The sequence below is a fragment of the Homo sapiens genome, chromosome 2, assembly GCF_000001405.40.
Source record: "Homo sapiens chromosome 2, GRCh38.p14 Primary Assembly".
NCBI classification, from domain to species: Eukaryota; Metazoa; Chordata; class Mammalia; order Primates; family Hominidae; genus Homo; species Homo sapiens.
In genome coordinates, this window is record NC_000002.12 from 40250377 (window position 1) to 40266896 (window position 16520).

A 16520-nucleotide genomic window follows, 5' to 3' on the forward strand; every position below is an offset into this window, starting at 1 on the left:
CTTGGCAAATAATAGATTATCCAACTTAATTCCAATATTATTAAAATTAGTGATCATTAGCTGGCACTTTACAACAGAAATGATCTGAATAAATTTTCAACATATACATGCTCTGATACCATGACAGGAAAATGTAAGTGCAAGCGTGGGGGGGCGGTGTCAGGAGACTCGTGTGTTTATAATTCTGATGCCTATCTCTCTGAAGAGTGACTCTTCGAGTTATTCTTTTCAATAGATGTACTTATGGAACATAATTTGGTCATATTGTAGTGATCTGCTACTAAAGAAACTTTCGCCTAACTTTCTCCTAGCCAAGGATGTGAGTCTCTCAATAACCCACATTTACCCATGAGTTATGTTAAATGTGCCTTGTGTTCCACTGGTTTAGAATTTGGGGTTTGGGGAAAGGCAAATGGGATGTTTTCCCAGTGTACTTTAGCACAATATAGGTGAAATCATACATGTATATGCAAAAAAAGTACCTGTAACTGTTCTGTAGTTCCAATGATTGATTGGATCACAATACTAAGGAGGGTCAGAATTTGATGATTATTCTGGCTTTTTGGGTGGCCCCAAACTCCCACCAGCTATCAAATGAAGGCGTCGGGGGAGAATATATACAGTCTACAGAACTCGGGAGAGTTAAAGAGTAGCAAGTTCCAATCAAGAAGAAATGTTTTATTCAGTAATTACTTTGAAGAATTTTTTTAAGAGCCCCTGAAAATACTGGATTTCTGCAGGGGATATTGCGAAAATACTAAAATACTAAGGTGTGAAAATGATTCTCTTTTTTGAATTAAAAAAAAAATCAATAGAAATAATTCAGTGTGTGAGGTAGATAAGCTTCAGACAAAGGGAAAAACCAAACCTGCTAGTCAGAGATAGATATAAAAAAGAGAAAAATCAACCTCTACGTTATGTTGCCAAGGAGACTGTGTAAACAGACTTACACAAAGAGAAGTGGCTGGCTGGCAATACTGCTAATGTGGAAAATCTCTTCATTGTTGTGTGGCATGCTTCATCTCAGAAGAGCAGGAAAAGGTGGCAGGCAGAGAGGGAGAAATAACAAGAATGGAAGAGTCGTTCTTCCAAAAAGGGCCATCTGTGACCCTGAGAGATAAACCTGGCAGACCAGGGCTCACATCTTAGTAAATCACCTGTAAATAAAGCTTGTAAGGCCTGTGCATTGTCTCATGATTATTTTATTAATAATACTTTAACCCTTGCAATTTGATACGCTGTGCAAGGTAGTCTTACAGGGGATCTTTTCATTGAGACGCTCAACTTGTTTGTTTTGTGCTTCTCAGGCAAGGGCAGTGACTGGAAGCTGGGAGAGAGGGTCAACAGCTGAATCTCAGCCTGATGGAGGCCACCATTTAATAAGTAAATACATGCACGGTAAGCCTCATATGACTTTCGTCTCTCTATTCTTTTAGAAGTTGGTCTAATCCAACCATATATACAAATGCAATTATTTCTCCTTCAATATTTTCATTCATTCAATATACATCGGGTATTATGAATAAAGTCCGTGTAGATACAAGTAGTCTCAGTTCCCCAAAATGTTTAGAGTGTATAATACCAAAAAATGCTATTATAAAGTTTAGTGAGAAAAAAGTTTGTTTTTATATAACCATATATGCAATATGATTACAAATCTGCTAAATTGTTGAGCAAACAATAAATGGTTAATCAGTGTTGATGGATGAGCAAACTATGAATTATTTTCCCTCTTTTAATTTTCATCTCCAAATTTTCTATAATGTGGTTGTATGAATTTATTCATATAGAGAGAATTTACAGGTGGCTGAAGTGAATCTGGGTTCAGATGTTGGACTTCGCGGTTTATTCTTTTACAGAGTTTGAGATAAGCCAGTGAAGTCTGACAAAATATAAAGCAGCTCTTTCTGCATTTGCAAATATGTGTGCAGTTTTTTTTTTTAGATAGTACATTTGTATTTTGATTGATTGATTGAGATGGAGTCTTGCTCTGTCACCCAGGCTGGAGTGCAGTGGCATGATCTCGGCTCACTGCAACCTCTGCCTACTGAGTTCAACTGATTCTCCTGCCCCAGCCTCCCAAGTAACTGGGATGACAGGCGCCCGCCACCAAGCCCAACTAATTTTTTGTGCCTTTAGTAGAGACAGGGTTTCACCATGTTGGCCAGGAGGGACTCAAACTCCTGACCTCAAGTGATCCACCTGCCTTGGCCTCCCAAAGTGCTGGGATGACAGGTGCACAGGTGTGAGCAATCACGCCCGGCCAAGATAGTGCATTTTTAAATGTTTCTCTCCAGACCTGTCATCATAAAAGTTGCTTGCTTAGAAGGGGGATAAAATAAGATGCAAACCAGCTCTTCTTTTATTGGAGAGTTTCAATTTAATCAGAAGGTGAATGTTAGCACATATATATATGTGTGTGTATATATGTACATATACATATATATGTATATACATGTGTATACATATATGTATATATACACATTTGATTCCAATAATATATATTTTGAGCCAAATTTTATATGTATGTATATGTGTATATATACATACATGTATATGTATGTACATATATACATATGTGTGTATATGTATGTACATATATGTATCTGTATATATGTATATACATATATATGTATCTGTATATATGTATATACATATGTATCAGTATATGTATATATGTACATGTATATACTATATATGTGTATAAATGTATATAGTATATATACATATATACGTGTATACATATATACACGTATATATGTATATGTATATACATACATATATATGTATATACACACAAATATACATATATACACGTATATGTATACACATCTATACATATTTACATATACATACATGTGCGTATATACACATATGTATACATATATACATGTACATATGACGTATATATGTGTATATACACATATATACACATATATACACACACATATATGTGTATATATATACACACACAATGGAATATTGTCCAGCCATAGAAAATAAAATCCTGTCATTTGCAGCAACATGGATGGAACTGGAGGACATATGCTAATTTGAAATAAGCAAGGCACAGAAAGACAAGTATTATATGTTCTCACTCATATGTGGGAGATAAAAAAGTGGATTTCATGGAGGTACAGTAGAATGGTACTTAAAAGAGGCTAAAGGGCCTGGCGCGGTGGCTCATGCCTGTAATCCCAGCATTTTGGGAGGCCGAGGCAGGCGGATCACCTGAGGTCAGGAGTTCGAGGCCAGCCTGACCAACATGGTGAAACCCTATCTCTACTAAAAAATACAAAAAGTAGCCAGGCATGGTGGTGGGCACTTGTAATCCCAGCTACTCGGGAGGCTGAGGCAGGAGAATCACTTAAACCCAGGAGGTGGAGGTTGCAGTGAGCCGAGATCATGCCATTGCACTCCAGCCTGTGCAACAGAGCCAAACTCTGTCTGTCTCCAAAAAAAAAAAAAAAAAAAAAAAAAGGCTAGGAAGGACAGCAGGAGTGGGGGATAAAGAAACAAACGTTGGTTTATGGTACAAGAATACAGTTAGCTAAAAAGAATAAGTTCCAGTGTTTGATAGCACAACAGGGTGACTACAGTTAATAATAACTGATTTTATATTTCAAAATAGCTAGAAGAAAACTTCTGCATATTCCCAACACAAAGAAATGGTAAATGTTTGTTTGAGATGACGGATATTCTAATTACCCTGATTTGATCATTACACATTTTATGCATGTATCAAAGCATCACACATACTCTACTCTAGAAATATTTATAATCATTATGTCAACAAAAAATTAATATAAAAAAAGAAAATAAAAGCTAATTCCAACTGCTAAGTCATTGATAAATTAAAAATAGAAATGAGATTGGGGTCTTAAGTAATTTCCTTACATTAACGGTCAAAATGAATGCCACACCTTGTGAGACAGCATGCAAAACTCAGTTTCAGAGCTGGCATATTGAATTAATAACATATCCTTTTTCTATCAAAATGCTCTTAAGTTGTAAATCATGCTTTTTTGTTTTTTTTTTTTCAGGCTATTTAGATCCTGCATCAGACAGGTCATCAGAAAACATGAAGCTAAATGCAGTAAAGAATTACTCTCTTGAACTCTTGAAAATATCAAAAACATGAAGCTAAATGCAGTAAAGAATTAGTCTCTTGAACTCTTGAAAATATCATTTTCTTATAGAAATGGTTTAAAAATTTCTTTTTTATTATTTCTAATTTTCCTTCAGAAAATTGTGAGTTTTAACCTACAACACATACACTCCAAGGTAATGCCACTCTAATGCTGTCTAGTTGATCTGAATAACTAACTGGTCAATTATCAGATCCACCAAACTGTCTCTCTGGAGATTAACTTCTGCCAGCATATTGGTTTCTGTTCATTTTCACAAGATTGACAGGCTCATTACAGCAATATTAACATCTTCCTTTGAGCACTCACACTGTGCAATTGTAATTTTGCATATGTTGATGAGCAGGCAATTACATCAAAGAGTGAACACTGGGCTGATGTGCAAGGCACTATTTAATTATAAAAACAGTATAGGATTGAGCCCTGTCACTGAGTCTTCCATTCCTTCTATCTCGCCTGTTTCTAATTTATTTCTCTATTTCTTCATTTCTTCCTTGACTGTCTTCATTCTTTGCTTTTTATTTCTTTCTCCTTAAATGACAGACCTTTTCTTAGATGCCATTTCTCTATGTCTGCGCTTAAGACAAGAATTTTTTTCCTCCTAGTTGTTGGTTAATGTCTGCAAATGTGAGAGCATGTTAACATGACAAACAACAAGGAATTTGAAATAAACTTAAATGAAACAGTGTCTTTTCTCCCCCTACTCTCCCCCACCCCCCATGGTGGAAATGATGATATCCTTACCATCTGCACACTTGCAGGCTGTGAGTGGGCAGAAAACCAGCTGGAGATGCAGCCCATGGCAGGGATACAGATCCTCAGCTTCTGGGAGGTCCTAGAAGCTCACAATGCCACCCAGCTATTGGACTATCATCTCTCATCATGTATATTCAAAGGGAAAATGTACAACATTTCTTCTAAACTATTTTGTACAGAGAACATCTCCACTATCATCAAAAAGAGGCTGATGTGTAGTAGGGAGAAAGTGTTCTGGACTAAGTGTCAGGAAACCTCAGTGCTTCAGGTTCTCTTGCAATTATGAGACTGGTTCTGTTACTTCACCTCTCTGGAGTTTATTTTTCTTATTTGTATAGTGAAGGCCTCCAGCTTTAGCATCTCATAATTTTGTTGTGGAAAATAAATACGTGCAGAATTAAGAGAATAATGAAAAGAGTTTGAGGGTATCTCCTCTGCCTTAATTGACAAACTATGTTAAGGGTAGACTATCACGGTATCCTTCAAACATATCTATGAGGCAAGGCTTGTGGCAGAAAAGGAAGCAAAATGATATACTTGTCACATCAATTAGTCAAGAAAATGTGATTACCCTGAGCCCAAGAAACTTCCACTAAAAAGATGGAAGGAAAGACTACGTCTGGTGTTCTCTGGCACCATCCTTGAGTCCACATGTATTTAGAAGTGAATAACTGAATTTAGGGCCATGGTACAGAGGTGTCAGTCTGCAAACTAGAAGAGCAATGCTGACAGGCCCTGGGACTGTTCCTAGTGCTGTATGGGAACTCAGAAATCTAACCGAAGCCACAGGATGGGTAACGACAATGAGACTGTGACCTGGCAATATCTGCATAATCTTGCAAGAAATTTCTAAAACCATAAGACACACGGCATTTTTACTTGAGTCCTAAAATGAACATCCGGTGATATTGGACCTTCCCACTCCTAACCAAATGACGTCAACACACTCTTAAGGACACATCACACACTCTGTGGAAGAGGGTAGGAGAGGTGTGGAATATAAAATTCCTTTTTTGAGACGGCTGCCTGGATTCTAATGGGGTTACTCTAATGTGTTTTAAGACCAAGGCTCACTGGCCAAGATATACTTTCATGAATTCAAGAATGTATGATCATTATGATGTATACATATACACATATATGCATTTACATGACAAAAAAAATGCCAGAAGGCATGTAAAAGACAGACAGTCCTCTTTTCAAAGGGTGCATAATGGGAGTGATTCTATCTTTACGTCTAAAGTGTTCTACTGGACGCATTTAATGTTCTTGTTTCCTCTGTCTTAAATTATTCGTTCCCTTTTGGACACATTATTGCTCCATAATAATGCTAAGTAGCTTCATTTTGTTGTTGTTGTTTTTTAAATCACCCAACCTTTCCTAATGCTAAGCCAGGCAATGGAGGGCAGGAAAAAAAAATGTCTTTAGAGAAGGCTGTAGGCCTATCACCAGATTTTGAGCTGGGCTTTCCCCAGAACACACTTTAGGCCTGCAGGATGCCTGAGGCCAAGGGTACTTCCTGCATCCACAGGGTTGGGGATGCTGAGTGCAATCCCTCTATTCTGCCACCTGGGACAGCCTTTTGCATTACTCTCTGGCTGCCTTCCCTTTTCTGAAACTTGAGAGGGGAGAATGTTGCTTCCCTTTAGAACAGTAGGTGAGCCCATCAGCAACTCAGCCCCAAAAGTCTCTGCAGTCTCATCTGACAAATTATAAGATTGAGCCTATCAAGTAAGTAAATAAATAAATAAATAAATAAATAAATAAATGAATAAAATGAATCATAACAAATATACATATCTGTGTATTTATTACATCTTATCATAATTCTCAGCCTGAATCTAAATATACGGTCTACTACAATCTTTTTAATTGGGCTTTAGCTAAATGCATGATGAAAATCATTTTCAGATCTTAGCTCATTGGAAAAAAGTAAAGATAAAAAATAAATAAATAAAAAGATCTTAGCTCACTGTCGTACTCTAGTGCCTTCCTAACACGCAAGCATACTTCCCATGTCCCATTCACTTGCAATCAGCTACTGGTGGAAAATTAGATGGTCCCAAATCAGAGGAAACCGAAGACATGATAATGAAACTCCTGAAAAAATCAATGACGATTATGGAAATTAGCTGTTTACCACCTTTTTTTTTTTTGACCTTTCCTTTTTTTGACCCTCTAGGCAGCCTAGTTTATGGAAGGAACATCATCAGTGAGGTCCCAGAGAAAGGAAAATGACTGATTACAGAGATAGCTATTATTTCCAGCCACTATATCCAAGAGCGTATCAGATCACTCAAAGCACATTTTATCAACACTCCCCCTGTGACAATCTAGTCTTTACTGGAGTTAATTAAAGCAATTAATTCCCTTCCCTTTCAAAGCAGTGTGATTACATAAATAGATAATTTCCCAATCCAAACCCATAAAGCAAGTGATTTCTCTGCATGTTCCTCAGTGTGCAAAGCACCTAACTGAACCAAATTGTCCTTTTTCTAAATTTGACCTTCATGAAATTCTCCAGTAACTTTTTCTGCTCTGTCTTCCTATCTGGTTGGATGGCAGAACCACATCTCCACATGGACACAGGACTGCAAGATTAATAAAGCATTTCCCGCAGCAAAGATAGATAATGCCTAAACTGTAATCACAACGACAGGAGTAGAGTGAGGAGGAAAGGAGAATGGCGGGTGCCTGCTCTGACAGGCACTACAGTTCCCTTCAACAATATACCAGCGTGGGTGATGCTGACAATAATTAAGCAAACAGAATGCCAAACAATTGTAAGAAAAGCTGTCAAACATTTTGTGTTATTATCCCCTGCACAGGCCTGTAATTTATCATCACAGAAAAAGCACATAAAGAAAAATCTCTAAACAGTGACATTTTGTTCAAATTACAACCCTTGGCTTCCCTGACTGCCTACAGACTGACATCTCCAAGGTCGGATGTAGTGCTCAGCAATTTGTTCCTTCATTAAGTGAGCATGTCTCTGGGATGGGTTCTAGCCACTGTGAGTGCTGGCATGCCAAGAGCAAGAACAAAGTACTTCCCAACGTGTGGGAAGCCACTTACCTTCAGACGTCAAAATGAAAGAAAGTAACTGACATTCGTATTTCCTTCTCAGATTGGTCCTAAAGCTTGAAATATGATCTCCTGCACCAAGGCTCCTACCTGTCATTTCTTCCTCCCTCTCCACCCAAAACCCTGCTTGGGGTTCTGGACTTGGCTAAAGTGTAAGGGCTTTGATCTTGTTGGTATAAACTCAGTCTTTACTGGCCGGGCACTGGTGGCTCACACCTGCAATCCCAGCATTTTGGGAGGCTGAAGACAGTGGATCACTTGAAGCCAGGAGTTTGAGACCAGCCTGGCCAACATGGTGAAACCCCCGTCTCTACTAAAAATACAAAAATTAGCCAGGTGTGGCGGCAGGCACCTGTAACCCTAGCTACATGAAAGGATGACGCAGGAGAATCACTTGAACCCTGGAGGCAGAGGTTGCAGTGAGGCAACATTGCGCCACTGCACACCAGCCTGGGCAACAGAGTGAGACTCCATCTCAAAAAAACAAAAAACAAACAAAAAACAACAAAAAACCCAATCTTCCTGATGATATCCCCCAATGGTTGTAATTGAACCAGAAAGAAAATAAAAAAAAAAAAAGGAAATACTTTTCTCATCCAGTTTCTTTAGAGTTTAGCACAGTTCTATAGATTAATTACTATAAATTGTGAGACATAAAGAGACCTCAGAGATGCTGAGCCAGTGAGACAGGTGTGAGGGTGTGAGGTGTTACTATTAGTACTTTGGAGAAAGTCCATAGGCAGTCTCCAACGTAGATTTCTGGATGGCTCAGAGTTGAAATGGACCCTAGAGGTAATAGAATCAATCTTTTCAAGTAATGAGAGAAATTCTGTCTGTGATATTCCTAGCTGATGTTCTGAGCTGGACCACTTCCAAGGATGGAGATAATAGAAGCCTTCCATTACAAATACTTGGCTGCTGAAAGACCTAAACATTTGAGTCTTCACTGTTTTCAACAGCTCCTTCCACACCTGTCCAACATAGAGATCCACTTAACAGAAGTCCTACCCTCTAGATATTGCCTTATTTGAAAAGGTAATATCTTTTAATCCCATTTCTTTCTATCCCATTGCCAGAGCTCTTTCCCATTGCTTTCTTCACTTTCTTCACAATCTTTTTTCTTTTTTAATTTTTAAAAATAGGGTCTCATTCTGTGCCCAGGCTGGAGCACAGTGATGCAACCAAGCTCACCACAACCTTGAGCTCTTGGGCTCGAATAATCCTCTGGCCTCAGCTAGGACTACAAGCATGTGCCACCATGCCCTGCTAACCCCATCTCAATCTTTATACCCATAAGAGAACCTTTTCTTAGAAGCCTCTTTTCTTAGGGTTTGGAGGTTGATTTACTATTGCCAATATAGCAAATCTTTATTTTCCTTAGGTTTATTTTGATTTTTTAAAACAATAGTCTTTTTACTCAAACTTTGGCAAAGAGTTTGGGCTAGTATACCAAGTAAATAAGCTTTAATTTTCTCTTGGCCATGTATCTTCTATTAGTTTCTGCATAAGACCCTCAGTGCTTCCATGTTTACTGCTCGCTGCACAGGCACCTCTCACTAGATGGCACTTAGGATATTTTTCAACCATCTTTCTGACCAAAATTGTATGTGTTCTATGTCTCATCCCTAAGAAAGTTGATAGTGAACTCAATTGGCTGATTACAAGTACAGTGTGAACAACTTATACCTGAACACTTTAAATATATTGCAACCTAACAAACACATTTACATATCAACAATGACTCATTTCCTTAGTCCAAGAAAGTGAACACAGGCTTGATTCTCTCTCCCAACACCCTCCCCTCCTTTTTTCTCTCTCTTTCATTCCTTATAATAGACAAATGTGAATTATCTTCACAACCTGTTCATTTAACTCTGTCAAGCTATTCCTCAAGGACAAACCACAAAAGGGAACCAGGGAAGGGCTGTTCAGAGCTCACTGAAAATCCAGATCAGCTACAGAGGTCCTTAGCCCATAGAAGATAGGTCTGTGGTCTCAACTTGGAATATAAATAACAGCTTCTTTACCAACCTCACCAAATCGACTTTTAATACCTTTTTTTCCCATAGGCTTCCAACCTACTCTGATTGACTTAGGCTGATCAGAAACAAAACTTTAACAGTAACGTCTAAAATAAGTGAACTTTGTTTTATAAGTCTTCCTTCTTGCCAAAGCTGATGACTAAATAAGTTCAAAGACATTTAAATTAATGTCAGTTATACCCACAGTCACTGGAGGAGAGGTAATAGGAATTCAAGCTTCCAGTAAAGAAAAAGAGGAAATGAGAAAGAAAAAGAGGTGTCTTTCAACTCTAGTTGTGATATAGTCTGCTGAATTATTGACCTTTCCTTTCAAAGATAAGAAAATGTGTATGTGGTTTTTTTTTTTTTTAATTTAGACTTCCTACGTGTAACTAAAATCTCTAAAACAAGGTGGCTTATTTTACATATCTGAAGAAAGTGAGGCATGCAATTTTCCCTTCCTCATAGTCCGACCTAAGAGTGTGTGGCAAACTTTGTAGAATTCTAAGTTTCCTTCAAGAACTTTTCATCTTATTTCCATCCACAAATTAAAAGGGATGGAATTACTCAATGTAGCCATAGCTAGGAATACAGTTTAGTGAAGAACAGGAAGGGAGAGAGACAGAAGGACTCCTACAGTTTTTCTTTACAATCTAAATATGTTAAATGCATGATGGAAGCAATGGAGCCAGGTCAAAATGGCACTTGCTGTGTTGTGAAAAATCCTGACTATGAGAATCTTCTGTAGTAGAAAGGCAGGTCATTCTATCACACCAACTGGAAGGCCAGTCTGGGGCGTGCTTGCTGGATGTGTGGAGATCAATTACCCACAAGTCCCTGTGGAGTCTCTTCCATAAGAAACTGGGGAAGCCCAGGCCATCAGTATTCTGCACACACACTAACAGCTTGTGCTTGCAGAGGCAATCATTTTTCAGCTCTTTTCAGATTCTCTTTCTTGGTTATTTTTCCATCTTGGCTAAAAGGGTTTCTCTTTTGTACCAAGCAGGGGCACCAATCTAACAGAATTTATTAGAAACTGCTCGATTGGGATTTTGCTGGAGTTCTACTGAGGTTGAAAATCTCAAACAATATGTGATGAAAATTTTAGGCTGTTTTGGGTGACTTCAATCCCAAGGTCTTTCTTGGCTGATTTGAGTTCCTTCTTTCAGAGATTTAGGCAATGTTAGTTTCAGATGGGAGGTCTGGTAGATCCTAAAAATGAGGTAGCTCTATGTCAGCCATTCAGTGGAGAAAGAGCCCATGCTACTCTGTATGACAAAATACTATGCCTTTATTTGCATACAGGTGTGAATGAATTATTTAAAGAGAAAAATGTGCGAGTGGGTACTGCGTAAGTGCCACAGTCGTTGCACTGTGCTTTTCAGTAAGTGTGAACATTTTCCTTCGCATGTCTTTTTAAGAGAAAGAGAAAATGATGATGGGAAGGATTTTGGGTAAGACAAGATTACTTTTCTACTATTCTTATCAAAATTTACTATTTTGTCTTCCTTTGTGTAGTACCTGTGTAATATTTGCTCCACAATTGTAAGCTCCTTGAAGACATGAAATGTGTCTTTTCACTTTTTTTTTTTTTTTGAGACAGAATCTCACTCTGTGGCCAGGCCGGAGTGCAGTGGTGTGATCTTGGCTCACTGCAGCCACTGCCTCCTGGGTTCAAGCAATTCTCCTGTCTCAGCCTCCTTAGTAGCTGGGACTACAGGCACGCGCCATCACGCCCAGCTAATTTTTGTGTTTTTAGTAGAGACGGGGTTTCACCATGTTGGCCAGGATGGTCTCGATCTCCTGACCTTGTGATCCGCCCACCTCAGCCTCCCAAAGTGCTGGGATTACAGGCATGAGCCACCGCACCCGGCCCTCTCTTCACTATTATATTGCCAATATTTATGATAGCTTTTGGTTTACTGCAAGAAACAATGAGTAAGTAGTTTGTCTCTTTAAACCAATGCTTTCCATTCTTCTCCAGGTGAGAGGTTGGTATAGATTTTTATGAGGCTTTATCATAACTAAACCCAGTGGTGGACTGAATAAGATCAGCTGGTAAATATAGTCTTTGATCCACTGGAAAATCCAGCAATATCTAACTTAAACAACAAATGAGCGAAATTCTAACATTTCTAGTATATTTGATCTATTGGTTTGTAAACCATCTTGAAGCCATGATATAGAAACACTAACTCTGTATTTTTATAAAAATAAAACATAAGGGTATGCATTTATTCATTCAAGAAACATTTCTTGAGTCCCTAATTGCACTAGGAACTGTTCTTGATTCATGATAGAATGTGACAGACAGGTTGTTCATGGAGATTTTGCTCGAGTAATGCATATATGGTTGGAACTGGTGGGCACGGAGTCCAAAATAGCAATTCTAGGCCAGCTTGCCCTAAACAAATGATACAGATATTATATGAGAGAGTTGCTAAAATTTGGATCATATTTAGCTCTCCTCCCACCTCTTTCAAACACTTACTAAGTTTAGGGAGAAATGTGGGAACATAGGATGAAGTGGCCACAGAGGTACCCAAGAATCAGTACAGTAACAATGTCCTTAGCAAATGGCCCTCCCGTAATTCCTAAGAAGGTAAAATATTTTAGCATTGAAATAACTTCATGACATGGCTATGCCAACTCTAAAATGGTTTCATCATGTAAACAGTCCTTCAGCGAATGACTTACATTTTGAAAAACCTACAGAGCAGAGTGAAAAGCATGGGCTGAGCAGTCAGCTGATGAGGATGACTGAAGCCATGCTCCACCATTTGCTGGTTGATTCAAGAGGAAGTCACTTAACCTTTCCAAGCCTCAGCTTCACCTGCAGAATGGCAATAATAATGGCCAACTTGTAGAGTTGTTGTGAATACAAAAATAATGCAGTGCATTTTTAGCATGATACATAACATATAATAGCAACACAGTGCTAGCTGTAATTCAATTGGAAAAAACTACTTTAAAGTTCATATGGAACCAAAAAAGAGCCCACATTGCCAAGTCAACCCCAAGCCAAAAGAACAAAGCTGGAGGCATCACGCTACATGACTTCAAACTATGCTACAAGGCTACAGCAACCAAAACAGCATGGTACTGGTACCAAAACAGAGATATAGACCAATGGAACAGAACAGAGCCCTCAGAAATAATGCCACAGATCTACAACCATCTGATCTTTGACAAACCTGACAAAAACAAGAAAAGGGGAAAGGACTCCCTGTTTCATAAATGGTGCTAGCCATTTATGGAAAACTGGCTAGCCATATGTAGAAAGCTGAAACTGGATCCCTTCCTGACACCTTATACAAAAATTAATTCAAGATGGATTAAAGACCTAAAACCATAAAAACCCTAGGAGAAAACCTAGGCAATACCATTCAGGACATAGGCATGGGCAAGGACTTCATGTCTAAAACACAAAAAGCAATGATAACAAAAGCCAAAATTGACAAATGGGATCTAATTAAACTAAAGAGCTTGTGCACAGCAAAAGAAACTACCATCAGAGTGAACAGGCAACCTACAGAATGGCAGAAAATTTTCACAACCTACTCATCTGACAAAGGGCTAATATCCAGAATCTACAATGAACTCAAACAAATTTACAAGAAAAAAACAAACAACCCCATCAAAAAGTAGGTGAAGGACATCAACAGACACTTCTTGCAAGAAGACATTTATGCAGCCAGAAGACACATGAAAAAATGCTCATCATCACTGGCCATCAGAGAAATGCAAATCAAAACCACAATGAGATACCATCTCACACCAGTTAGAATGGCAATCATTAAAAAGTCAGGAAACAACAGGTGCTGGAGAGGATGTGGAGAAATAGGAACACTTTTACACTGTTGGTGGGACTGTAAACTAGTTCAACCATTGTGGAAGTCAGTGTGGCCATTCCTCAGGGATCTAGAACTAGAAATACCATTTGACCCAGCCATCCCGTTACTGGGTATATACCCAAAGGATTATAAATCATGCTGCTATAAAGACACATGCACACGTATGTTTATTGCGGCACTATTCACAATAGCAAAGACTTGGAACCAACCCAAATGTCCAACAATGATAGACTGGATTAAGAAGATGTGGCACATATACACCATGGAATACTATGCAGCCATAAAAAATGATGAGTTCATGTCCTTTGTAGGGACACGGATGAAGCTGGAAACCATCATTCTCAGCAAACTATCACAAGGACAAAAAACCAAACACCGCGTGTTCTCACTCATAGGTGGGAATTGAACAATGAGAACACACGGACACAGGAAGGGGAACATCACACTCTGAGGACTGTTGTGGGGTGGGGTGAGGGAGAGGGATAGCATTAGGAGATATACCTAATGTTAAATGACGAGTTAATGGGTGCAGCACACCAACATGGCACATGTATACATATGTAACAAACCTGCACGTTGTGCACATGTACCCTAAAACTTAAAGTATAAAAAAAAAATAGAGCACACATGTCATTAATGACCATTAATTATAGCAACACCCAGAGGACAGCAGTACTGTATCATTTTGCAGGTAAGAAAACTGAGGCTTAGAGGGTGTTTATGAGCACAGGGGAAGATACACTTCACCTTTCTCTTGAAGTTATTATGTTGCCATGACTTGCTTTGGCTAATGAAATGTAAATGACAGAGGAATGTGTTGCTTCTTGGTGAAAATCTTCAAGTCATCTTCTCTTCACTGTGCCACAATGAATTATGTTTCAGAAGGCGGATTGTCCAGGATCCTGTATCCTGAATTAAGGACAATGTAGAGTAGACGATGGGCATGCAGCATGAGTAAGAAATAGATCTTTATTATTTTAGGTCACTGCAATGTTTACAGTTGTCCATTACAGCAGGATAACATAGCTTATTCTAACTTTCCAAAGATGAGAAACTATTAAGATCTAGCATTCAAACTCAGGTCTTATGGTATTAAGGCCAATGCTTTTGTACTACCTTACAGTACACTGCTTATTAGAAATAAAACACCCTGTGAATGTACCTTCCACTTCGAAGAAAATGGACTTTTCTGTTGCTCTTTGACTTAAAAAAAATTAAAAATTCTCTGAGCAAAGGTCAATGGAAAGGTAGCGAAAAAGTTGGTAGAGGTGGGCAGATAATAAAACTGATGAGAAAGATCCATTAGTTTAGCAGAACCCTTTATTTCCCATAGGTTCATGACCTGAAGATTACATAGGATGGAGGGAGGCCCTTATCATAAGCCTGCAATTCTGTGGCTAACAAAATCAATTTTTAAATGATTTATGTGATGTTTTTCAGGACCAAAAGAGCAGTAATTCATTTCCCATGTGGTACTTGGAGCTGCTGCTTAGATGTTGAAAAATGATTAATCTTTATTTACAGCATGGCTCCCTTCATATATTACTGGAAACAAGATTTGAGAGTGCAACACTTCTATAGCATGCAATTATTTGCTGAAGGAAGTTCCAGGCATAAAGAAAAAAAAAATCTACTAGCAGCCAAGGATATCTGGACATGCACTGAAGTAACCACTGTGAAAACCTTCCAAGGCCAAATGCTTCCAATCTATTCAGTTTGACCCACTTAACATAAAAAAGCCACATTAATTTCCCAAGGGGAGCCACTCTTCTATCAAATCATACTAACTCCTAACTTCAACAATGGGAGAATGAAGAATTCAGAATTCTTAGGTTTTTGTTCCCCCAGAAGACTGAGTTTAAAAATTTTCTAGAAATTGGTGCACATAGCTTACTTCAACTTAAGTTGAAATATGTGTGCATTTTTAAAAATTGCTATAAGGATGCCTTTTCTGGGCCACCATATGTAGACATTCCTTTCTTTTAAAACTACAGAAGTACCATATTCTCAGGTCTCCTATTCTCCATCTTGCCAGCCTGAGCCTAACAGGTCCAATCACATCTAAGGAACAGTTTCACCTAGGGTAAAGTTCACATTTTTATGACTAGCTATATCACTCTGAAGCCCCTAGTTTAGGGCCCACAATAATTTGATAAGGACAGGTAAATTTCCATGTCCCTTGCATCTTGTGATCATTAAGGTTGGGGTAAAGACCTTGGATATCAAGGAGATAGAGTAGAGACTATTCTTAGACCATTGGAATGAGCTCTGCCCATTGCTTCTGGACACTAGAATGTTAGAGGGCTGTGGAGAATGATGCGTAATGATGCCTGCTGTTTTCTCTCCTATCATTTTCTAGGACAGATTTTCCCAAGGAAACAGTTAAGAGAGCCAGACTAGTCAGTTACGCACTCCATACTGGAGACCACTCATATGCACATTGTGTACCTCATCCTTCTCCATGGATCATTGCTCACTTTCTCTTTATTGGGCTAATGGTATTGGTTAAACTGTAGGCTGATGACTATGGACCACTATTTTCTGTATCATTAAACATGGCCATATCCCTTCAAGTGGGTTGTGAATAAAATTGGCACTCTGCTTCCACCCCAAGTTGGATTATTTAACAGGCATGACTGGCTTATTAGGAAATAGCT

The 16520-nt window shown here is 38.6% G+C and overlaps 1 protein-coding gene and 1 long non-coding RNA gene across 24 annotated transcripts in view; one reads left to right on the top strand and one right to left on the bottom strand.

Annotated features, from left to right (window-relative positions):
- Positions 1-4833, top strand: part of SLC8A1-AS1 (SLC8A1 antisense RNA 1) — a 337576-nt gene extending 332743 nt beyond the window's left edge. The window contains exons 4-5 of the long non-coding RNA NR_038441.1: positions 1308-1398; positions 4044-4833. This is a non-coding gene — a long non-coding RNA (SLC8A1 antisense RNA 1). The remainder of the gene's footprint in view (positions 1-1307; positions 1399-4043) is intronic.
- SLC8A1 (solute carrier family 8 member A1) overlaps positions 1-16520 on the bottom strand; it is a 415166-nt gene that overhangs the window by 153107 nt on the left and 245539 nt on the right. The gene's annotated exons all lie outside the window — the stretch shown is intronic.